Genomic DNA, 23,718 nt, shown 5'->3' on the forward strand with positions numbered 1-23,718 from the left:
CCCATGGTCACAGCTGTGCCCAGGTCGGGGTGGTGCCTCCTGAGGAGGGAAAGGAGCAAAGGCTTCCCGGGAGTGTGAGGAACAGCCTCCAGAACCCCAGGGACTTTCCAGGCAGGGAGCAGGTGCGAAGGCCCTGGGGCCCTACAACGTGCAGGCTACAGAAGGCTGGGCAGCCAGCCTGGGGGAGGAGGGAGCAGAGAGGGGAGGGAAATCAATCAGAGGAGCGGGGTGGGCGGGGGAGGCTGGGCAGGGCCCTGTGGGCCTTCAAAGCTTTGGCTTTAGGCCGAGTCTGAGATGGGAGCCTCAGGAGGGTGTTGAGCCCCGGAGTGACCTGAACTCTGCCCCGCGGGCAGCTGCGTGGAGATGGCCTGGGTGGGGGCCCATGCTGCGTATTGTTCAGTTAATGACCCTTAAACCACACTCACAGCCCCAATACTGGTGGGGTAGGCAGAGCACAGCTATGGTGGCCCCAGAGTAAGCTCCATGGCAGAAGAATCCAGAAGGAAAAGCTCAGATTCCCAGAGGCAAGCAGGCGGAAGACACTCCAGAGACGCCTCAGAACTTAGAGAGGCCAGTGGAGATTGGCCAGTAGAGGTCTGTGAGCCAGAAACCCGTCAGGGCAGGCGTGAGCTCAGATCAATGCCTCGGGCAGCCACAGGGAGAGAGAAGCCAGCAGAACACGTGGAGATGGGCAGCAGGAGTGCAGCGGCCCCAGGTGCGGCCAGGCCCAGCCAGGGAGACAGTGGATCTCACCTGGCCTTGGGCGCCGGGCACAGCCCTGGTGTTTTGTTTGGTGGTGCCGATGCGCGTTTCCTGTGGCACTGGAACTAACCGCCACGTACTTTGGTGGCTCACAGCAGCACAGGCATCTTTCTTCACACCCCAGGGGTCCGTACGGAGTGAAACAGGGCTCTCTGGGCTAAAGTCCAGGTGCTGGCAGGGCTGGTTCCTTCTAGAGGATCCAGGGGAGAATCCCTTCTCTCGCCCCTTCCAGCTTCTAGAAGGAAGCTGCCTCCGTCCTCAGAGCCAGCAGCATCCAGCCCAGCCCTCACATTGCCCTCCCTGGCTCTGAGCCCCTCGGCTTCTCCACGCTCCTCCCCGTCGGGTAAGGTCAGCTGATGAGCATATTGAGCCCCTCACGGCACCCCCCATGGCCCCCCATAGCCTAGCATATCTATAGGTCCTGTAGTGGGACAGCAGCATCCTTGGGGACATGATTCTGCCAACTCCAGTGGTACTCTCCAGTCTGGTGTGGAGGAAGAGATGGAGGAGAAGCCTGGGTGCACGCCTGGGGCAGGATATGGACCCAGCATGGCCAGAAGAAGCAAGTCAAACTGAGGCCGTGGACCTGCAGGGCACATGAGTCGGGGGTGCTGAGGGGTGAAGCCATGGCCTTTTCTGAGAAGTCCATGCAGATGCGTAAACCGGAGACTCATCCGGGGCGGCCCTGGGCACCCCCATCCCGAACAGGTCTCTTAGTATAGTTCATTGTCAGCGTGCAGTGGTTCAGAGCCTGCCTCTGACTGAGGCGGCTGCCCAGGGCCACAGGGCAAGGGGCGGGGGGGCGGGGACAGGACCCTGAGTCCTCATGAGGCCATGCTGAGTTGGTTGGCAGCACCCAGGGGAGTGACTGTGGAGGTCCCATCCCCATCTGGTCCTCAGGCAGGGGCAGCACAGCCTTCAGCCACAGCCCACTCCAAAGCCAGCACCACGATCTCTAAAGCCTGGGACAGGAGGCCAGCCTCAGCCGCCACCGTGCCACCCGAGAACAGGAGCGAGGACCAACGTTCCCGGCTCTCATTCACACCCAGACAAAGGATGCTGGTGTTGACGGATGGAGCCACGGAGTGGGAGGAAGCTGTCTCAACAGATTTGGCCCTGCTGCAAACCCATCAGGAGGCTCTAAGCCGGTTTCAGGATGAGACAATACTGCGCCCCATTTCCTCCCCAAGGGCCTGGAGTGACTTCAGAGAATCAAATGCATGGTGAGTGGGTGGAGTAGGGGGAACAGGGACCTTCCTGATAGCTGTTCAAGTCCAAGGAATGCTGAGCAGGAGAGATGTGGGGCAAATTTTTAGAGAGAATGTTTCTGAAGCGTGTGGTCATGATGCCGCAACCCCTGAGTGACGGCGGGAGGCGTGATGGGTCTTAGATCCATACAGGTTCGACGGCCCCTCGGCAGTGCGGCCCCTCAGCAGTGGGGCCAAAGCGCCATTGCCGGCAGCCGGTCGGGAGGAGGGTGAAAGAGAAATCCTGGCTGCACACAGAAGGCACCAACTGTTTGCTCATCGCAGAGCAGGGCAGTGGTGCCCAGGAGGGCGGGGCATCGGATACTGAAACACGAGCAGGTTTCCGGCATCGAGACTGGGGCTGGAGACTTCAGGAAACCTCATTTTCTTCCCCAAACATCCACCCTTTTCTTTAAAGTAGGCCAAAGGCCTCCGTTTCACGCTGTGTGAGCCAGGCGTGTCAAGCCACAGCGGTCGAGGCGGGTGTTTCTCAGGGCAGGCTTTAAAGGTGCTCGGGCCCTTCGGCCGGCGCCCTCTGCAGGCAGGGCAAAGGGTGGGGCCATGGGGTCCCTGCAAAGATCAGGCTAAGGCGACTCCACCGCACTGGAAGGGAAACTGAAGCCCTCCCAGGGTCACCTGCTGGACGGCAGCAGAGAACGTGGGAGACCCACATGGCCAGGAGGAGGGTGGCAACACCAAAAACGTAGTTTTGAGGGAGGACATGAAGCAGCAGTCAGCTGTGCAGAGTTTCTTCCTCAGAGTCTTGGGGATGAATCAGGACCGGCCAGTGGGGACAGCTGAGTATGTCTCAGGTCATCCACAGGGATGCTGTCCAGGCTGGTCCAGAATTGGCTCAGCCTCTCATCTCGCTAAAAATCCTCCAGTGGGGAGGGCACCAGGGGCTTGGGATGGAATCTTCCCATCAGAACAGCTTTCAGCCTAGGTGGTTGACGGAGTCTGGGGAGAGGTATGCAGGTAGCGATGCCCACTCAGCCTCACAAGTCACAGCAACGAGGCACTGCAATGAGTCACTGCAACGAGTCACTGCAAACTCCATCCCTTTTTTAGGACTTCAGCTCCTCATGAAATGGCTCAAGAACCAGAATTTTAGAGACATTTTTTTCCCAGTGTGACTGTCTTGGAAAGCAGTTTCATGAACAAGCCTTTTTCTGGGCCCAGGACCCTCCCAGTGACCTGGTGGACAGAACCAGTTCTCTTTGGCCACCAGGCTGTCTCCTAAAGTAACTAGAGCCTGGGGACCTTGATACAGTCGCCTCGTTCCACAGCAGTCTGATAGCCAGTCACACCTGCACGACTCCCATGGAGCTGACAAATTGCTTTGGTCTGGGGATCCCCAGCCACTGAATACTGGCCATCTTTACCTGCATAGGAACCTGGTCCCTAGACACCCAGTCACCTTTGCTGGGCTTGACTTGCAGCCTCCACACCACAGCTACGTCCTGACTGCTGGGAGCAGGAGCCTGTTTTGTTCTCTTCACCAGCCATTTGTGTCTCCTGTTCCGTGGGATGCCTTTCCATATTCTCTGCTTTACTATTGATGTCTTTTTATCATGGTGTCAGAACGCTTTAATATAAGAGATATTCACTTTTTGTTTAAAATTTTTGTTTAAATGTTGCAAAATGTACCAGAAGCAAATAATCGAAGGGGGAAATTTTGCACCTCATAAGACAAAGTCTGATTCCCTTTATGGCTTTTAGATATCCCGTCTTATGGGAGAAGCTCTCTCCCATCCCAAGGGTATAGAATGCTATCTTTAGGTATCTTTTAATATTTTCACACTTTACATCCAACTCTTCATTCTCGATGGGGTTTATTTTTATGCATGGTGCGATACAGGATTCTGGATCTTTCCTTCATCGCCCATCATGCCAGCACCTTCTGTTATACAAGCCCCCAGTTCCCGCTGAGCTGCCTGAAATTCCCCTGGAACTTGGACCCACTCCAGGCAGCTCTTCTTGCATGTTCCTGGGGCCAAAACCATGCCGTCAGGATTCCATCGGCTCTGTTGGGATCTAAGTATCTGATAAGGTGTGATTCCTGGCTCACTGTTCTTTAGAAAACATTCTCAACTATTTTCAGACACTATTCCTCGATGTGAATTTAAATACTTCTTTTTATTTCAAAAAAGAAAATGGAAAACATCTCTTTAGAAATTCTATTTAGGTGGCATCCCGTTCACACATCCATAGGGGAAGGACTGAGGTTTTCATGACACTACCTCGTTCACCTGTGACCTCCCTGCATTTCTGCAGGTGTTGCTCTGTGTACACGCACCATCTGCAAATGCTTCTCCTCCACACAGACAAGCCTGCCGGTCTCAGCCTCCTTTCTTGAAGCTGCACCTGCTCAACTTTCCGCTCAGGTCTCACATCAAGGATTTTGCTCTCCTGCACATTCACGGAGCCTTCCTTTGGGGGCGCCATTGCTTACGGCCCCTGGGATGGCTCACTTTATGTGTCAATTCGCCAAGGCCACAGTACCCAGACATTTGGCCAAAGATTGTTCTAGCTGTTTCTGTGAAAGTACTTTCTAGGTGAGATTAACACTTAGATCAGTAGAGTTGGAGTAAAGCAGGTTACCGTTTGGGACGTGGTGGATCTCAGCCAATCAGCTGAAGGCCTTCATAGAAAAAAGGCTGAGGTGCCTTGGAGAAGAGGGAGCTCTGCCAGAGGGTGGCCCTCGGCCTCGAGCTGCAACACCAGCCCCTCACTGGATCTCCAGCCTGCAAATCACCCTGCAGATTTCAGACCAGCAGCCTCCACAATCCTATGGCCAATCCTTAAAATAAGACTAATGAAATCCTTAAAATAAATGAAGAAAGAGAAAGGAACAGTGTCAGAGGAGGAGTAAATGAAGGTTAAATAAAAGCATTTGTTTTCATTATTTTTAATTGATCTAAAAGATAGCTGTTCAAGGCCGGGTGCAGTGGCTCACACCTGTAATCCCAGCACTTTGGGAGGCTGAGGCAGGTGGATCACCTGAGATCAGGAGTTCAAGACCAGCCTGACCAACATGGTGAAATGCTGTCTCTACTAAAAATACAAAACCTAGCCAGGTGTGGTGGCAGCCGCCTATAATCCCAGCTAATTTGGAGGCTGAGGCAGGAGAATCGCTTTCACCAGGGAGTCAGAGGTTGCAGTGAACCAAGATAGCACCACTGCCCTCCAACCTGGGTAACAGAGCAAGACTCCATCTCAAAAAAATAATAATAATAACGGCATAAAATAATAATAGCAACAATGTATTAAGTGATTATAACACATGGACAAGTAAAAAAAAATGAAAGTAAAGTATTGTCACAGAATGAGAGGGAGGAATTGAGAAGACCTTCTTATAAGTTGAAGGTGCCACGTGGAAAGGGATAATGGTGTTCTTTAAAGCTGAACTTAGATGAGTTAAAAATGTGTATCCAGCATCCTTGGGGGCTTGGTTCTAGGACCCCCACAGATACCAATATCCAAAGATGCTCAAGTCCCGTATTTAAAATGGTGTAGTATTTGATGTAACTCACACACGTCCTCCCATATTATGATATATAATACAATGTAAATGCTATGTAAATCACTGTTATAACGTATTATTTAGGGAATGATAACAGGAAAGAGAAGCCTGTACATGGTGCAGGCATACCATCCTTTTTTCCTTTCTCTGAGTATTTTCAGTTGGTGGTTAGTTCAATCCACATACCCGGGACCCACAGATGTGGAAGGCCTGCTCCATTGTAAACCCTGAAGCAATCACTAAAAAGTGGCTTAAAAAGAAGTATGATTGACATGTGAGCAGAAGAGATAAAACAGAATCATAGAAAATGCTCAATTAAAACCAGAGAAGACAGAAAAAGTTGGAGGGAAAAGGAGCAAAGGATAATCACAATATAAAAAAGTTGCAAACATGAATTCAACAATATCGATAATCACTTTGGATGCAAATGGTCTCAATATACCAATTATAAGACAGAAACGGTCAGAGTGCATAAAACAAGTGAGACTAGAGTAGGTTGAAAGTAAAAGGATGGAGAGAGTTATTCCATGGAGCAGTAATTGAAAAATCTCTAGATTCACCATCCAGGAACCCCCTTTGTCCTCCAGGGATCTCTAGATTCACCGTCCAGGACACCCCTTGTCCTCCAGGAATCTCTAGATTCACCATCCAGGACCCCCCCTTGTCCTCCAGGGATCTCTAGATTCACCGTCCAGGAGCCCCCCTTGTCCTCCAGGGTTACAATCCAAGGCCCCCAGTGGATGCCTGAAACCGAGAGTAGTGCTGAACCCTGTATATACTGTTTTTTGGGGTTTTTAGGGGGCGTGGGAGGATCTGGTAACCAAGATGGCTGCTGAGTGACTGACAGGTAGGGTAAATGACATGGGTACAATGGACATAGGGAGACTCACATCCAGGAGGATGGGGAAGGACAGCATGAGATTTTGTCACGCTACCCAGAATGGCATGCAATGTTCAACTTATGAATTGCTTATTTTGGAAATTTCCATTTAATACTTGTATACCATGGTTGATTGTGGGTAACTGAAACCACAGAAAGTGAAATTGCACATGAGGGGTGACTACTGTAATAATTTCAGATTCCTGGACTAGGAACATTATCAGGGATAAACAGGGTCATTCAGGCTGGGCACGGTGGCTCACATGTGTAATCCCAGCACTTTGGGAGGCCAAGGAGGGTAGATCACTTGAGGTCAGGAGTTCGAGACCAGCCTGGCCAACATGGTGAAATCCCATCTCAACTAAAAATACAAAAATTAGCCAGGCATGGTGGCGGGAACCTGTAATCCCAACTACTCAGGAGGCTGAGGCAGGAGAATCACTTGAATCTGAGAGGCAGAGGTTGCAGCGAGCCGAGATGGCACCACTGCACTCCAGCCTGAGCGACAGAGCGAGACTCTATCTTAAAAAAAAAAAAAAAAAAAAAAAAAAGTGGGGCATTCCAGAGAGTCTATTCCCCAGAAGACACAATAATCCTGACACCCAAGTGTCACCATCCATGAAGCAAACACTGGGAGAGCCGAAGGGAGAAGGAGGCAGCCACCGCTCAGGTGGAGATTTTAACACCACTCTCTCAGTAACTGACAGATCCAGCAGACTAGAAATCAGCAAAGATCAAGTTGAACTGAACAGCCCCATCCATCAAATGGATCTAATTGACATCTATTGAACACTCGATCCAGCAACAGCAGAATACACATTCTTCTCATACAGAAAGAAAAGCAAAAGCTGTTACTTTTCTATATGCCAACAATGAACAACTAGAATTTAACATTTATAAAACAATACCATTTACAATAGCTCTGAAAACAGAAATATTTAAGTATATACTTAAGTAAGAAAATACCACATCATCTATATGCAGAAAACTAAAAATCACCAGTGAAGGAAGTCAAAGAAGGTCCAAATGAATGGAGAATATTTGTGGTTACAGATTGGATGTCTTAATAGTGTTAAGATGTCAGTTCTTCCCAACTTGATCTATAGGTTCAATGCAGTTCCAATCAAAATCACTGCAAGCCATTTTATAGATATTGACAAACTGATGCTAAAGTTTATGTAGAAAAGCAAAAGACCTAGAATAACCCATTCTAAAAAAGGACAAATTTGGAGGGCTCACTCTACCCAATTTCATGAGTTAGGATAAAGCTACAGTAATCAAGACAGCTGAATACTGGCAAAATAATAGACACATGGGTCAATGGAACGGAATACAGAGCCCCGTTATAGACTGACATAAATGTAGCCAACTGATATTTAACAAAATCGCAAAGGCAAGTCAAAGGGAAAAGGATAGTCCTTTCAGCAAATGGTGCTGAAACAACCGGATGCCCACATGCAAAAAGCAGAACCTACACACGGGCCTCACACCTTTCACAAAAAAATAAATAAGTAAAGAGTTCAAAATGAATTACTTTTTTTTTCTTTTTTTTCTTTTTTTTTTTTTTTTTTTAATGAGACAGAGTCTCACTCTTGTCGCCCGGGTTGGAGTGCAATGGCGCGATCTTGGCTCAGTACAGCCTCCACCTTCCAGGTTCAAGCGATTCTCCTGCCCCAGCCTCCCGAGTAGCTGGGACTACAAGCATGCGCCACCACGCCCAGCTGATTTTTGTATTTTTAGCAGAGACGGGGTTTCACCATGTTGGTCAGGCTGGTCTCGATCTCCTGACCTCAGGTGATTCACCCACCTCAGCCTCCCAAATTGTTGGGATTATAGGCATGAGCCACCGTACCCGGCCATGAATTACTTCTAATAGTTCCAGGGTTTCTTTAGGGAGTGATTGAAATGTTTTGAAATTAGTGATGATAGATGCACAAACTTGTGGATACACTAAAAAAAAAAACACTGAATTGTACATTTTAACAAAGTGAGTTTTATATTGTATTGCAATGAGTTTTATATTATATGGCAATAAAATAAAATTAACTCAAAATAGTTAATACACATAAATGTAATGTGCACAACTATAAAACTTCTAGAGGAAAACATAAGAGAAAATCTCTGTGACCTTGGGTTTACTGATGAGTTTTTAGATACAACACCAAGAGCACAATTCATGAAAGAAAAAAAATTGATAAGTTGGACTTTATTAAAATTAATTTTTCTGCTCTGTGAAAGGCGCTGTTAAGAAAATGAGAAAAACAAGTCACTGACTGGAGGGAGATATTTGCAAAACAAATATGTGGTCAAGAACTTTGTGATAGTCAATTTTAACGTGTCTACTTGGCTGTGGCATGGGATGCCCACACGAACTATCATTGCTGGGTGTGCCCTTGAAGGTGATTCCAGACTGTGCGGCTCCACAAGGCCAAGGGGGCTGGAGGGGCTGGCGGTGGCCACACCAGGGAGTGATGGGACAGGCAGGTAGCTGAAGCCTGATCACCGGACCTCAGGCTCAGCATCCTGGGCAGGTCTCTCTGGGCCAGGCTGGCCCATGACACCCACCACAACGGTGTTGGCAAGGACCAAACACGGTGTGTGCAAGAGGGCTTTGCCAATCGCCAAGAACTAAATAAATGCCGGGACTATTATTATTATTATTTCTTAGCAAATTAACTACCCATATTACATAATTGCAAAGTGCTTCTGAGCTAAGCAGATCAGGACAGCAACACTCATTAAAAATTCCAAGCGACTCCACATGATTTGCTGACCTTTGCATTCATTCTTGCCTTTTCTCTCCTCATTAAATCCTATTCCTGGAGCTGTTATTAGCTCCCCAGCCTCTCCCCTGATTAAATAATGACCCAGGATCACTCGCTTAGGTGTTTCCCATTTTCACTGCAGCTCTGGCCCCAGGCGCCCCCACCCTGGATGCGGTTGCACTTGTGGCCGATGCTGGCTGATTAGGCGATCATCACTAAATCACCCAGACTCCTATGCACAGAGTGTGCCTCTCACACCAATTATTAAAAGCTTGCAATTTTCGGGGGGTGCGGGGACTTCACATTTACAAATAATTAGGTTGGGATTCGATCTTCCCTGCAGTGAAAGGACACTAATGACTCCCATTCTGTCCAAATTCTTATCTTGAAGGTTGGGATGGTACGAGGAGTTCTTCCTGCTGACAGCAGAGAGGAAGCCCTTAGCACAATTTCTTCTTTTGAATGGAACCAAGGCCACCTTGTTAGCTGGCACCTGAGCATCAAAACAAGTCTTTAAGATGTCCCAAAGAAACACCGATTCCCTACAGCCCCGGCCCATGTTTTCTCAAACATTTACTGACTTAAATTAGAAATACGGGCTCTGGCCTGGTGTGTGGCTCACACCTGTAATCCCAGCACTTTGGGAGGCTGAGGCGGGAGGATCACAAGATCAGGAGGTCAAGACCATCCTGGATAACACGGTGAAACCCCATCTCTACTAAAAATGCAAAAAATTAGCCGGGCATGGTGGCGGGCGCCTATAGTCCCAGCTACTTGGGAGGCTGAGGCAGGAGAATGGCGTGAACCCGGGAGGCGGAGCTTGCAGTGAGCCGAGATGGCGCCACTGCACTCCAGCCTGGGTGACAGAGCGAGACTCCACCTCAAAAAAAAAAAAAGAAAAGAAAAGAAAAGAAAGAAATCCTGGCTCTGATTTCCTGCAGGTGCACATGCTGCAGAGTGAGTTTTACAGTGGGTTTGAAGTTCAAGAAGGATCGATAAAAAAAAATCCAATTCAAATATGGGTGAAAGACTTGAATGGACATTTCATCAAAGAAGACACACAGACGGCCAATAAGCCCATGGAAAGATGCTCAACATCACAAATCATCCAGGAAATGCAAATCAAAACCACACTGAGATACGCCTCACATCTTGATGGCCACTACCAAGAAGACAGAAATTAGCAAATTAACTACCCATATTCCGTAATTGCAAAGTGCTTCTGGGCAGAGCAGATCAAGACAGCCACGCTCATTAAAAATTCCAAGCGACTCCACACGATTTGCTGACCCTCGCATTCATTCTTGCCTTTTCTGTCCTCGAGTGTTGGAAGGGATGTAGAGTAATTGGAGCCCTGCGCACTGCCGGTGGGGGTGCAAGACGGTGCTGCTGCTGTGGAAAATAGTGTAGCTGTACCTCACAAAATTAAAAACAGAATTTCCATATGATCCAGCAAATCCACTCCTGGCTTAGCCAGGTGCGGTGGCATGCACCTGTAGTCCCAGCTACTCCGGAGGCTGAGACAGGAGAATCACTTTAACCTGGAAGGCGGACGTTGCAGTGAGCCAAGATTGTGCCATTGCACTCCAGCCTGGGCAACAAGAGCAAAACTCCGTCTCAAAGGAAAAAAAAAAGTCCACTGCTGGGTATATACCTGAAAGAACTGAAAGTAGAGGGTCTCACACAGATCTTTGCACACCCATGCTTACTGCAGCACCATTCACAACAGCCGGAAGGTGGAAGCCACCGAGCCCATTGATGGATGTGACTGGATGAACCAAATGTGGTCTCTCCAGACAATGGAATATCATTCAGCCTTAAAAAGAAGGAGATCCTGACACATGCTACAACCTGCACGAACCTGAAGACATTGTGGTGCGTGAAATAAGCCAGTCACGAAAGGACAAATACCGCATTACGCTACTCATGGAAGGAAACTGGAGTACTTGAATTCATAGCGAAAGAAAGCAGAGTGGTGGTTTCCAGTGGCTGGGGGTGGGGAGATGGGGAGCTAGGCCCAGGGAGAGCGGAGTGGTTTGTGGTCCTGTTCTAGAAAAGTCTCTATTTGGCCAGGTGCAGTGGCTTACTCCTGTAATCCCAGCACATTGAGAGGCTGAGGCAGGTGGATCACTTGAGGTCAGCAGTTCAAGACCAGCCTGGCCAACATGGCAAAAACCCATCTGTACTAAAAACACAAAAATTAGCTGGGTGTGATGGTAGGCACCTGCAATCCCAGCTGCTCAGGTGGCTGAGGCAAGAGAATCGCCTGATCCTGGGAGGCGGAAGTTGCAGTGAGCCATGATCATGCCACTGCACTCCAGCCTGGGAGACAGAGCAAGACTCTGTCTCAAAAAAAAAAAAAAAAAAAAAAAGAAAAGAAAAAAGAAAACTCTCTATTTGACCATATTAATAGGGTTCTTTACCCATGGGAAACCTATGTGGACTCTTCAACTAAGGACTTTTTTACAAAAAATAGACTGATACAAGCAAAAGGACTTTGGAGCAGCCTTTGAGTCTTAAAACCTGGTAGGTGGGTTTTACTCCCCATGGAGGAGTTGAAAGTCTTGTCCTTGCTGAGGGAGAGCTGCCACTGCTCTGTCCAGGCCTTGGGAAGAGATTGCAGAGGTTTGTTGAAAAGCTGAGGGCAAACGGGGTCATGATTCACCAGTGGTTCATAATAAGAGTCGTCGTAAATTTCATCCTAAATCTACTTAAATGGAGATGAGGGGAAACTGATTCACGTGAAGAAGAATCAAAGGGAAGGTCTGAGGAAAGGTGGTCTCGCCAACGCGGAGGTGGTGGTCGTACCTAGCCACCTGCCTCCCGCTGCCCTTCAAGGCAGCCCAATGCTCCCAGCATGCACAGGGGTGGCTGGATGTCCCCTCCCCAGATTCCGGGGTTCTCCCAGCATGCACCACGGTGACCTGGACCACTGCTGCAGAGAGAAGGGTAGGCCAGCTGTAGGGAGAGAGAGATGGCCGGGCATGGTGGCTCATGCCTATAATCCCAGCACTCTGAGAGACCGAGGTGGGAGGATCACTTGAGGCCAGGAATTCAAGACCAGCCTGGCAACATAGAGAGGCCCCATCCCTACAAAGAGAGAGAGAGGAGCTCTAAGCCATCTGCTAGAGGTGCACTTTCCCAAGCACACAGGCCTATTGCATTTAAATTTCTTTTTTTTTGAGACAGAGTTTTCCTCTTGCTGCCCAGGTTGGAGTGCAATGGCACGATCTCGGCTCACTACAACCTCCACTTCCCAGGTTCAAGCAATTCTCCTGCCTTAGCCTACCAAGTGGCTGAGATTACAGGTGCCCACCACCACATCTGGCTAATATTTTGTGTTTTTAGTAGAGACAGGGTTTCACCACGTTGGCCAAGCTGGTCTCAAACTCCTGACCTCAGGTAATCTACCCGCCTCAGTCTCCCAAAGTGCTGGAATTACAGGCATGAGTCACCATGCCTGGCCTAAATTCAAATTAATTATAAAGAAATGAAATCTGAAAATCACTTCTTCAGCCACACCAGCCACATTGCCAGTGCTCAGCAGCTCTGTGTGTCTAGTGGCTGCTGCACTGGGCAGTAGAGACCTAGAACACTTCATCTTGGTGGGAAGTTCTAGAAGGTTCTATTCACAGAGCTCTCCTGGGGGTAAAACTTGGATTCTGACCTCAGGGCCACATTCTCCCAGCCTGGGAATGAAGGTCCCAGATCTGGAGGATTGGTTGTTTCAAATCTACTTCAAGGATTGCACAATCCCAGCAGCAAGAGGAGAAACTTGAGAGGACTCCGCCTTCCTGCCCAGATGCGGGGTGGACGCTCCCCAAATACTCCACAGTGTGGAAGTCAAAAATGAAGCTGCAGCGGTGCTGGTCTCCCAGGAAAATGGAGGGCAGCTTCAGCCGGGCTCGGAAGAATGACGTTGTTGGTGAGTAATCTCAGATGACGTAAACCCACATTTACTAATAAAATCTCCAGCATCATCCATATAAGGTAGAGTTGACTTTTCACCTCCTAAAGCCTTCATAATTGCTCTTATTTTTATGCTAGAATGTTATCTCTGTTGAAATGTTGGGTTTTTTGCATCCTATTAAAAGTGTTAATAAGCTGTGTTTAAGACCTTACTTTGCAATTATGTTGAGCCAACTAAATAAATCAATACTGACTTTCAGCCCATTTAAGGAGTAAAATTGAACTCCTGCTAATTTAACAAATATTTTAAAAATCAGAGTTGATGAACATGTTAATGTTGTCCAAAATAAGTGTATTTAATTTGTGGTGATAAACATGAGGCCATCACCCACCAATCCTTCGGCAGGGAGGTGGGGAGGACACAAGAACGGGGGGCAGGCAACAAAGTGCCTTTGGCGGGGCCAGGCTGCGGGGCCTTCCCACACGCCTGTCCATGGTTTCTCACTCATCTGAGAAGCAGCATTTTCAAAGCACTGCCTTCCCCTTGAATAAGCACATGTCTAGCGGAGGCAAGTGCAGGTGAGCTCTGTGGGGGTCCTTGGGTCCCCAGGACCTGTCTTGCCAAATACTTTCCACAGCTCAACTCACCAACAATATCCCCCTTTCTTCCCCCGACATGGCACATGCTGTCATCTTTAAAGGGTAAAAATGAGCCCAAAGACTAAAACCCAGATCAATTCCCAGGCAAAAGCTTCAAAACCTTCGGATTGTCATGTCTTGAATAAACAACAGAAGTTGGTTTAAATCAAAAGGTCTGAATGGCTGAAGCTGAAGCCACCCTCCAGCCAGGGGAGATTGAGGGGCCAGGCAGGGGCAAGCCTGCCCAGGACCAGGTCCCTTCACCCTCACCTGCTGGGATCACACCAGGGAACACGGCCTGGAAACGGAGGCTCTCCAACCCGAGCAACTCGTCCAGGATCACCCAGGGAGTAACTACGGGGCCCATTGGCCAAGCTGGGCAGGATGACACCTGCCGGGGCTTTCCCCAGATTCTGGGCAAGTGAGCTTGCTGCACCAGGGATCTGGAATGTGGCCTGGACCTGCCAGCCACACAAAGAAAACGTCCTACGAAATTTATTAACTCTTTTTTAATGCCAATATTTCACTATGTATAACATACTTATTCATTTTAATATAGAAAACAATGCTTCCGTGAGTTGTCATGGAGTAAGATCGGTGCTCCGGGAAGATGCATGGTTTTTATGCAGATTATACATTGTGTATACATTGTGTATACATTGTGTGCTTCTGTTATACAGCGGTGAGGGAAGCCATCTGGCCTGGGGCTGGATTACAGATGGGAGCTCCACCCAGCAGACGGAGTTGGCGAAAGACACACATTTTCTTTTCCTGGCATTAACTTCTTATCAGCCTAGATGGCAGGATTAGGGATGAGACAAGGATGCTTCCAACGAGAGAGCACCCTTACTCACACGCCTTCCCATGAAGCACACTGCCCGCAAGTCACAGGGTGCGGCCCGGGGCCCAGAGCATCCATGCCTCCAACTCGTGGAATCACATGTCCTTCCTGGCAAACTAGTGACAATAAACAACATGTACCATTCTAGACCACCATTCAAGTCCTCAAATATCCTGCAAATGCACCCAAATTACTCTTTTACTGTTATTTATATTATCTATGGAGTCTCATTTTTCCAAGTAAATTATTCTCTGCTTGACTCTGATATATTAGTTTGAAATGACAAGTATTAAAACAGTGAACACAAAATGAGCTCCCAGATAAAGACAAATGAATCTTCAGGTCTAGTGATAGAAGTTCCTGGAAGCCTATTTGAAATCTGTGTACTTAAAATATCAGGTGACTGAGAGATGCAGTGAAATGTAATGAGTCACACTCCGTGCTCCTTGGAAGCGTCCTTGTGGCAGGAACTGTGAGGTTACACAGCACCAAGGGGTCTCGAGTGTCTACAGCATGGGGCACTCACTATTCTCAGCTGCAGATTTCAGACACCCTCACAGGCTGAGTCCAACCAAGAGGAAATCGGGAGCCTGGGCCCAGGGTCCATGCAGGGCCTGCCCTTGGGTCCTGCAAAGGTTTTCTGACCAGCTGGGTGTACCAAGCTCTGGGGAGACGCCGGGGCTCCAGGGCTCACAGCCGGGAGCAGGAGTGGGCCGTGAGCCAACCCTCAGGGCAGGATGCTGGACACCCAGAGGAGAAACTTGGTGGCACAGAGGGTTCTGGAAAGTCCTCCCGGGGACTAGAGGTCGGAACTGAGTTCGTCAACCTGTAACCAGAAGAATCAGAAATCCCTGCTGTCTCAGACCAGTGGGGTCTCACCATGACAGGGAGCTAGGGGACAAGAGAGAGAGGAGAACGTGGAGTCTTTCCAGCTCTGGAATCAAGAGCAGGGTATTAACCCCTGACTTCAACGCGGGAGCCTTTAGTCCGAGCCGGGGACACAGGCACACAGGCCCCATTCCCAGCAGCCAGAGCCCATGGCAAACCCGGAGCAGGCCCGGGGGTCTCTGTGGTCCCTGAAGGCGGAGACAATGGCAATCAGTGGGAGCCCTGGCCAGACCCCAACTCAACTCACCCGAGGCTTACATAGGGGATCCTCTGTGAACGAGCACCCCCAGAGAGGTGGAGGCCCACCCTGGCCCTCCAGGAGAACACAGGGCAGCGTGCTGTGTCCTGGGACATAATTCTGGTCCCTTCCCTTTTGTTTCCCAGATAATGTCTTCCCAGGAAGTCCCTCTCGCCACCTCCACCCCACCCTCAAAATGCCAGGAGCCCGCGTGGGTTTCTGAATCCACCACTGTCACTCTTGCTGCCACCGGGTGCCACTGCTGTAGACAAGTCCCCTCAAGGACGGGGGTCCCTGCAGGTCCTCAGCGGTGCCCATCCCTGGGCTCTGGGCTTAGTGCTTCCTTCCTTCGTGCTATGGCCACAGCCACCGCCCCAAACACTCCGTGCATCAGGGCGGCCTCACAGGCCCAGGCGTCACCATGCCTGCCGAACCCGCCTCCTACTCAGCCAGACCCCAGGCTCTCCCTTCCCTCAAGCACCCTGTGATGTCCCCGGGTCCTGCCCTGCCTGGGATCTAAGTCAGGGCCCTCCTAATCCAACAGAGGAGCTGCCCGAATGCTGAGCCTCACGAGGAAAAGATCTCTAACTGGATCCCATCCTCCAGAGGTTCCCAGGCTGTCATGCCCTCCCGGGGACCTCAGTGAGGCAGCGCTGGTCCGTGATTCCATGAAACCAAAGAGCCTGCTGCTCACTCCCTGGAGCTGCACATCCACTCTTACTAACCACACGGGGGAGAGGTCCCGGCTCGTCCTCGTGCTGCACTCCGAGCAGGCAGGAGCAGGGCAGCCCAGGCTTGCCAGCTCCCTCACAGAACAACCTCAAGTGGCTGTGGCTAGGGAGCCCAACTCCAGGTTCCACCCCTGCTAGGGAGCTGTTTCCTGAGTCAACAGTGGTACCGAGTGTGACCGGCATGGGGGGAAAGCGGGTCACGCAGCAACCCTGGACGCTGGCTTTGGAAGGGGTGGACTCTGCTCCTGGGCGCTGTGGGGACGCCCTCATTCCCGGGTTGTGGCAGCACTGAGCGGAGGCCTGAGGCGCTGGAGCTAGTTCTGGACAGCACCTGGCCACTTTCCCCTGCACAGCCTGGCATGTCCGCACCTGCACCCTGCAACCACTCCCTACAGGAGCCCCTTCAAAGTCAGAGGATGCCGCAGGCTTTGAGTCTCCTCAGTAGGGGACCCCCATAAACAAGGAGGCCTGTTTCTATAATCAGAGCTTCCTGGAGCTCTGGAATTCAGAGCAGACATTAATTCTACTTTTTTTTTTTTTAAGACAGAGTCTTGCTCTGTCACCCAGGCTGAAGTGCAGTGGCGCAATCTCAGCTCACTGCCATCTCCGCCTCCTGGGTTCAAGCGATTCTCCTGCCTCAGCCTCCTGAATAGCTGGGACTACAGACACATGCTGCCATGCCCAGCTAATTTTTTGTACTTTAGTAGAGACAGGGTTTCACCGTGTTACCCTAGCTGTTCACGAACTCCTGAGCTCAGGCCATCCACCAGCCTCGGCCTCCCAAAGTGCTGGGATTACAGGCGTGAGCCACCGTGCCCGGCCAACGTTAATTCTTTAATTCAACAAACGTGTATCTGGTCTACCTCGGAGCTTGGGGGGAATTCCTGGGAGGCCGGGAAGGACAGGCTGAGGCCAAGGACATGGTGCTCAGGCCAGGCCCAGTGCCATGCAGGGAGACCTCAGAGGCTCTGACCAAATCCACCAGGAGAAAGCAGAGTGGCCCAACCACGCCCACCCCAGAAGGAAAATGCCTCAGTGTCTCTTTCCTCTGTGCTAGAAAATGGCTTTGTTTCCCTCAGGGCGCTGGAACCGGACCCCGTGCAACTTCTCCCAGGAAACTGGTCCCCGTGGCCCATCTGGGAGACCCTCATTCCTGCATCCTGACACCTGCTCTTCCGAGGGGAAGATTCCACGGAAACAAACTCCTACCCCCCAGCTGAGACCCCTCCACCCTTAGACTCCATTCTGGGGGCTGGAGCTTAGAGAGGCATCTCCACACTCACCCAGCCGATGCTTCCCTGGCTGGGGGTGGGAGGGCCCAGGGTTTGGAGGGCAGCCCCCGAGGAGGTGCACACTCACCTCCTGGCTTCTTCCTGGGAGGCTCAGCAATGCTACACATGCCCAGCCCTGCTCCAGAAATGCAAAGTTGAGGGACCCATGGAAACGGTGGAGGTGTCCGTGTAACCAACAACACATCTGCAATTGCACCCGTGATTTGGCAAACCTACTTCTTTTCTCTTAATTTTACTGGCCGGATTTGGTGACATCAATAAGCAAAGCTCTAAACCTAACATCACAAAACCTTTTTGAAGACTGAATCGCGACAGAATCTCCCACTTTCTTCTTCACAACTCGAGTGGAAACCAGATTAACATTTAAAATGAAATAGTCACGGAATATTTTAATAGCATTTCTCAGAGACCAGAACTTTGTTCCCTAGTGGCCAACCCAGGAGGAAGATTTTGTGTCCAAACTCAGGAGAAATGAGCATTTTTTTTTCCTACCTGTTTCTTATGAGGTGAATGAAACGGGCATTCTCTTTGTTTGATTTTTCTCTTTCTTTCAAAGACTGTCAGGAAAATGCCTCAGTTTCCTCCTCTCTAAAACAATGAAAGTTAAAAGGTGATGACGGATGACAAAGGTGGAGGAGAACGAGGAGGAGCTCGAGGAGGAGGGGAGAGTAGTCTTGGGAAACAGAACATGAAAGCTGTGATAAATTTCAGCAATGCTGTATCTCATTTCAGATGTCCTCCTGTGGGTTTTGCAGACAATTTAACAGAAGTCCAACGAAAAGGGAAGTTGCCTGAAAGAGCCGGCTCCCAATCCTTTCAAATGAGGTCCGAGAGCACCACCCCGCGGCAAGTCCCTCTCATTGCTGTTGCTTGCGTTTGCTTTCTGAGCCCCTCCTCCGGCCTGGTGCAGCTGCCTCCCGCTGCCGGGACCATGCCAGGAAGGAGCCAGGAGGCGAGTATGCACCTCCCCAGGGGCTGCCGGCCAAGCCCCGAGCCCTGCCCGCCCTCCCCAGCCAGGGAAGCACCAGCTGGGCGAGTGTGAAGGTGCCCCGCAAAGCTCCAGCCCTCCAGAATGGAGTCTAAGGGTGGAGGGCTCTCAGCTGGGGCGGGTGGGAGTGGCGGTTTGTTTCCATGGGAACTTTCCCTTGGAAGAGGCAGGTGTCAGGATCTCCCAGCCAGGGAGGATGTTTGCCTTTGGAATGTGTCCCGAGTCTAAATTATTTAGACCTTGTCTACATAACCTACCAAAGAGCGTTTTGGCCCCGCCTGCCCCTCCCCAGAGGACACGGCAGTGGCGCTGAGGGGCCTGGGTGGATCTTAAGGAAAACTGAGCCACAGGCCACTGCCCCCCAACACCTTCAGCTGCTTCTGCCTCAAGGGGGATGCTGCCCTCTGTTTCTGCACGGTTTGTGTCTTTGGGGGCAGGCCCCGGCCCGTGACACATGCAGGGCTTTGTCTCCCATTGGGCGGCTGCAGGCGGCCCCATTCCAGGCCATCAGCAGGACCCCTAGAGCCCCAGCCCCAATCCTCCAGGTGTGGGAGGGTGGACATGAGCAGGCATTAGGGCACAGTCCCCAGGAGCCACGCAGGGCCTGAAGGGGCTTCCACCTGGACCCAGGCTTCTCCCTCCCCTCCCTTGCAGGGAGGCTGGCATCCTGGACACAGCCTCAGGGGTCGAGCTCAGGCTCTCCTTCCGGTGGCCGGAGGAGACCCCACAGTCCCTGCTTCCCCTCCACAGGCCCTGCTGCCCACTTCTCTCTTCTTAGCTCTTCCTGTCTTTCGAGGCAGACTTCTTGTCTCTTCAGGCCCAGAGAGGGAGGGGACAGATGGCCAATTCCCTGCCAGTGGTCACTGCAGGCCCCGAACCATTCCCCACCCAGCTGGCCCGCCCTCCCTCGCCTGGGGGCCAGGATCGGAGGGGAAGATAGAGAAGCACCTTCTCCTGCTCGGACTCGGGTTTCAGGCTCCAGGCCTGGATTGCCACAAATTAGCCATGTGACTTTGGGAAGTTACTTCCTCCTGCTATGCCTCAGTTTGCTCATCTGTAAGAGGGGATAGATAATAGGAGGCCACGTCCCACCAGGTCGCTGCACCCCCGGCCAGGAGTGTCACTGGGACTCTGCCTAGGTTCCACCTTCCTTTGTCTCCTGAGACTCCCCCCCTCCTCCGGTAGGCACGGGACTCCCTGGGAGGGGAGGGGCGGTGACCCTGAATCCTGGCCCAACACACTAGTTGCCCCGTGAAGGTGCTAATAGGGTATTGAACAAAGCCTCATCAGGTATTACAACACCCAGCATATAAAACCTCATTCTTCCAATCTGCTTTAGAAAAACAACTTTTCCTTTAAGAAAGGCTGATTAAATCCAAAGGTGTCACTTCAGTGATCTGGCAATTTTCCAGACCGAAGGAAAGGCTGGAGCACGGGAGACTCTGACAGTGAAGAGACCAGCGGGCAAGGGGAGGGCAGAGGCCTAGGTGCTGCGGGAGACGCACAGGAGAGGCCCAAGTGGGTGGGAGCTGGAGGGTCTGCCCGGAGGGAGGAGGGGTCTGTCCTGGAGCAAAGAGGAAAGGGGAATCTACAGGCAGCCATGTGGAGAGAGATGCTCCCTGCCACGTTTCCACTGTTAATTCTGGAAACTAACTTTCTAAATAGGTTTTTTAAGAAGAGAACGTCTTATAGTAACTTAGTAAACTTTCTTTTTTTTTTTTTTTTTTTTGAGACAGAGTCTTGCTGTCTTGCCCAGGCTGGAGTGCAGTGATGCGATCTCGGCTCACTGCAACCTCTGGCTCCCGGGTTCAAGCGATTCTTGTGTCTCAGCCTCCCGAGTAGCTGAGATTACAGGCGCCTGCCACCATACCTGGACAATTTTTGTATTTTTGGTAGAGATGGGGTTTCACCATGTTGGCCAGGCTGGTTTTGAACTCCTGACGTCAGGTGATCTGCCCACCTCCACCTCCCAAAGTGCTGGGATTACAGGCATGAGCCACCACGCTCGGCTGTAGTAACTTAATAAACTTTTTACATAATGGACCTTCCCCAAGTAGATAAGGAACATCTACAAAGAAGCTACAGTTAACATTAGATGGTGAAAAACTAGATGCTTTTCTTCTAAGATCAGAAAGAAGGCAAGGATGTCCCCTCTGGCCACTCCTATTCAACGTCGTATAGGAAGTCATAGCTAGTGCAGTAAGAAAAGAAGAGGAAATAACACGTGTATAGATTGAGAAAGAAGAAACAAAACTGTTCACAGATGACATGATTTTCTATGTAGGAAATCTCAAAGAATCACCCCCCAAAAAATCCTGGAATTAATAAGTGATTATAGCAAGGCTCCAGGACACAGGGTTAATATACAAAAGTCCATTTCTTTCCTCTATAGCATTCATTGGACAATTGGAATTTGAGATTAAAAACACAACACCATTTATGTAAGCTCCAAGAAAATGAAATACTTAGGTATAAATCCAACAAAATATGTATAAGACCCATATGAAGAAAACAACAAAACTCTAATGAAAAAAATCTAAGAGCTAAATAAATAGAGAGACACTCCGTGTTCATGGATAGGAAGACTCGATATTGTCAAGATGTCAGTTCTCCCTGACTTCCTCTATAGATTCAATGCACTCCCAATCAAAATCCCAGTGAGTTATTTCATGGATACTGACAAACTGATTTTAAAGTTTATTCAGAAAGGCAAAGACCTAAAATAGCCTACACAATATTAAAGGAGAAAAGAGTCAGAGGACTGACACCACCCAACTCCGAGTCTTATTATAAAGTGACAGTAATCAAGACAGTGTGGTATTGGCTAAAGAACAAGCAAACAAGTCAACATAGTAAAACAGAGAGTGCAGAAATCGACCCACATAAGTATCAACTGACCTTTGACAAAGGCACACCAGCAAATACAATAGCGCAGAGACGATCTTTTCAACAAACGCTGCTGGAATAACTGCATACCCCGTGCAAAAAAAAAAAAAAATCAGTCTAGACACAGATCCTCTACCCTTCACAAAATTTACTCAAAGTGGATTACAGACCAAAATGTAGAATGCAAAATGAACAGTTCCAGAATATGCCATACAGAAAATGTATGTGACCTTGGGTTTGGTTTTCAGATACAACCCCAAATTGAGGTTTGATTTCATTAAAATTTCAAACCTCTGCTCTGTAAAAGATGCTGTCAAGTAAATGAAAAAACAAGCCACAGACTGGGAGAAAATATTTTCAAAACACACATCTGATAAAGGGCTTGTATCCAAAGTACGCAGAGAAGTCCAGCAAAACCAGGTTGGAGGGTGTCTCAGTTTCCCACAGCTGCTGTAACAAGCTACCATCAATTTTACAGCTTAAGACAACAGAACTGTATTCTCTCACAGTTCTAGAGGCCAGAAGTCCAAAACCAGTTTCACAGGGCCAAAATCAAGGTGTCAGCAGGGCTGTGCCCCCTCGGGAGGCTTTCTTTCCTCCTCCCGCTGCAGGGGCTACCAGCAGTGGTTGGCTTTTGGCCACATCACTCCACTCTCCCCACCGTCTTCACGCTGCCTCCTCCCCTGCGTGTGTTAAGTCTCCCCCTGCCTCTCTCTAATTAGGATGCGTGTAGTGACATTTAGGGCCTACCAGGATGATCCAGGATGATCTCACCATCCCAAGACTCTTAATCACATTACAAAACCCCTTTTCCAAGTAAAGTCACATTCACAGGTTCTGAGAATCACAACGGGGACTGACCTGTGGAAGCCATGATTGACCAACCACATCAGCATTAGAAAGGGTTCTCTTGGCTGGGCGAGGTAGGTGGCTTACACCTGTAATCCCAACACTTTGAGGGGCCGGGGCGGGTTGATCACCTGAGGTCGGGAATTCAAGACCAGCCTGACCCACATGGAGAAACCCCATCTCTACTAAAAATACAGAATTAGCCGGGCATGGTGGTGCATGCCTGTAATCCCAGCTACTTGAGAGGCTGAGGCAGGAGAATCGCTTGAACCCAGGAGGTGGAGGTTGCAGTGAGCCAAGATGGTGCCATTGCACTCCAACCTGGGCAACAAGAGTAAAACTCCATCTCAAAAAAAAAAAAGAAAGAGTTCTCGCCGAAGAGAAGACAGCACATCGAGACCCACAGGGAGAGGCTGGGGACTGCTGGGTTTGGATGAAGTCCGAGAAGAGAGCGCCCTGCTTGGTGGACAGACGTTTTGGGGAGTGGCAGGATCCATTGTTCATGCAGCACCATTCCTCTCAGACACTTCTCGAGAGGCTACAGCAAAGATTTTCCGTGGTTTTTTATTCCTTTTGGGTGTCAGCTCATCTCTCGCTGCATTTCTTCCAAGTGCAAGGTGGAGCTCAGAGAGACGCCTGGAGGATGAGGCGGCACGGGCAAACCTCAGGGCATCGTGGGCTCAGTTCCAGAGGCCACAGCACAGTGGTGATCACAACAAATGCAGCCACACACACTTTTTGGTTTCCTAGTGCATGTCAAATGTATGTTTACACTACACTGCGGCCTAATAAAGTGTGATAGTGATAGCATTATGTCTAAAAAATGTACATACCTTCATCTTGAAATATTCATTGCAAAAAAACACTAATGAAGTGACCACAGGCTCTGGGAACAATGGTGCCTATGGACTTGTCCTGTGTGGTGATGCCGGAAACAGCCAGCGTGTGAAAAATGCAATACAGTGAAGCGTGATAAGAGGAGGGGAAGGAGGTGTGCCTGCGTGTGGAAAACTTTCATCGGAAAAGTCACAAACAATGAGGTGGATGCAGGTAGCTCTAGCCCGGAGGCTGGTCTGCAGGGAGGGCCGGGGTGTGGGTGGGGCCCAGCCAGGACCCTCGGATAGGTCCACGTGGCCAAAGCCCTGGAGGCAGGCAGGGTGGGGCCCAGGGGCTGACCCAGGTGCTGATGGGTGGGGGCTGCCTGGGTCCACTGACCCTCCTTCTGGCCTCAGGCATGGGCATGGGGTGAGGGAGTGGCCTGGGCAGGCCCCAGAGCATCC

The 23,718-nt window shown here is 50.1% G+C and overlaps 2 long non-coding RNA genes across 2 annotated transcripts; one reads left to right on the top strand and one right to left on the bottom strand.

The window, feature by feature from the left end:
• Window positions 1–4,126: 4,126 nt before the first annotated feature.
• Window positions 4,127–18,792, bottom strand: LOC105378565 (uncharacterized). Its single transcript, XR_946487.4, has 2 exons — window positions 18,208–18,792; window positions 4,127–4,832 (listed from the first exon to the last, which is right to left on the bottom strand). It is a non-coding gene; the product is annotated as an uncharacterized LOC105378565 (long non-coding RNA).
• A 123-nt stretch (window positions 18,793–18,915) lies between these two features.
• Window positions 18,916–23,248, top strand: LOC105378566 (uncharacterized). The gene is made up of 3 exons (XR_946488.1): window positions 18,916–19,120; window positions 22,424–22,512; window positions 23,050–23,248. It is a non-coding gene; the product is annotated as an uncharacterized LOC105378566 (long non-coding RNA).
• Window positions 23,249–23,718: the final 470 nt, after the last annotated feature.

Source organism: Homo sapiens, chromosome 10, assembly GCF_000001405.40.
Source record: "Homo sapiens chromosome 10, GRCh38.p14 Primary Assembly".
Taxonomy (NCBI): domain Eukaryota; kingdom Metazoa; phylum Chordata; class Mammalia; order Primates; family Hominidae; genus Homo; species Homo sapiens.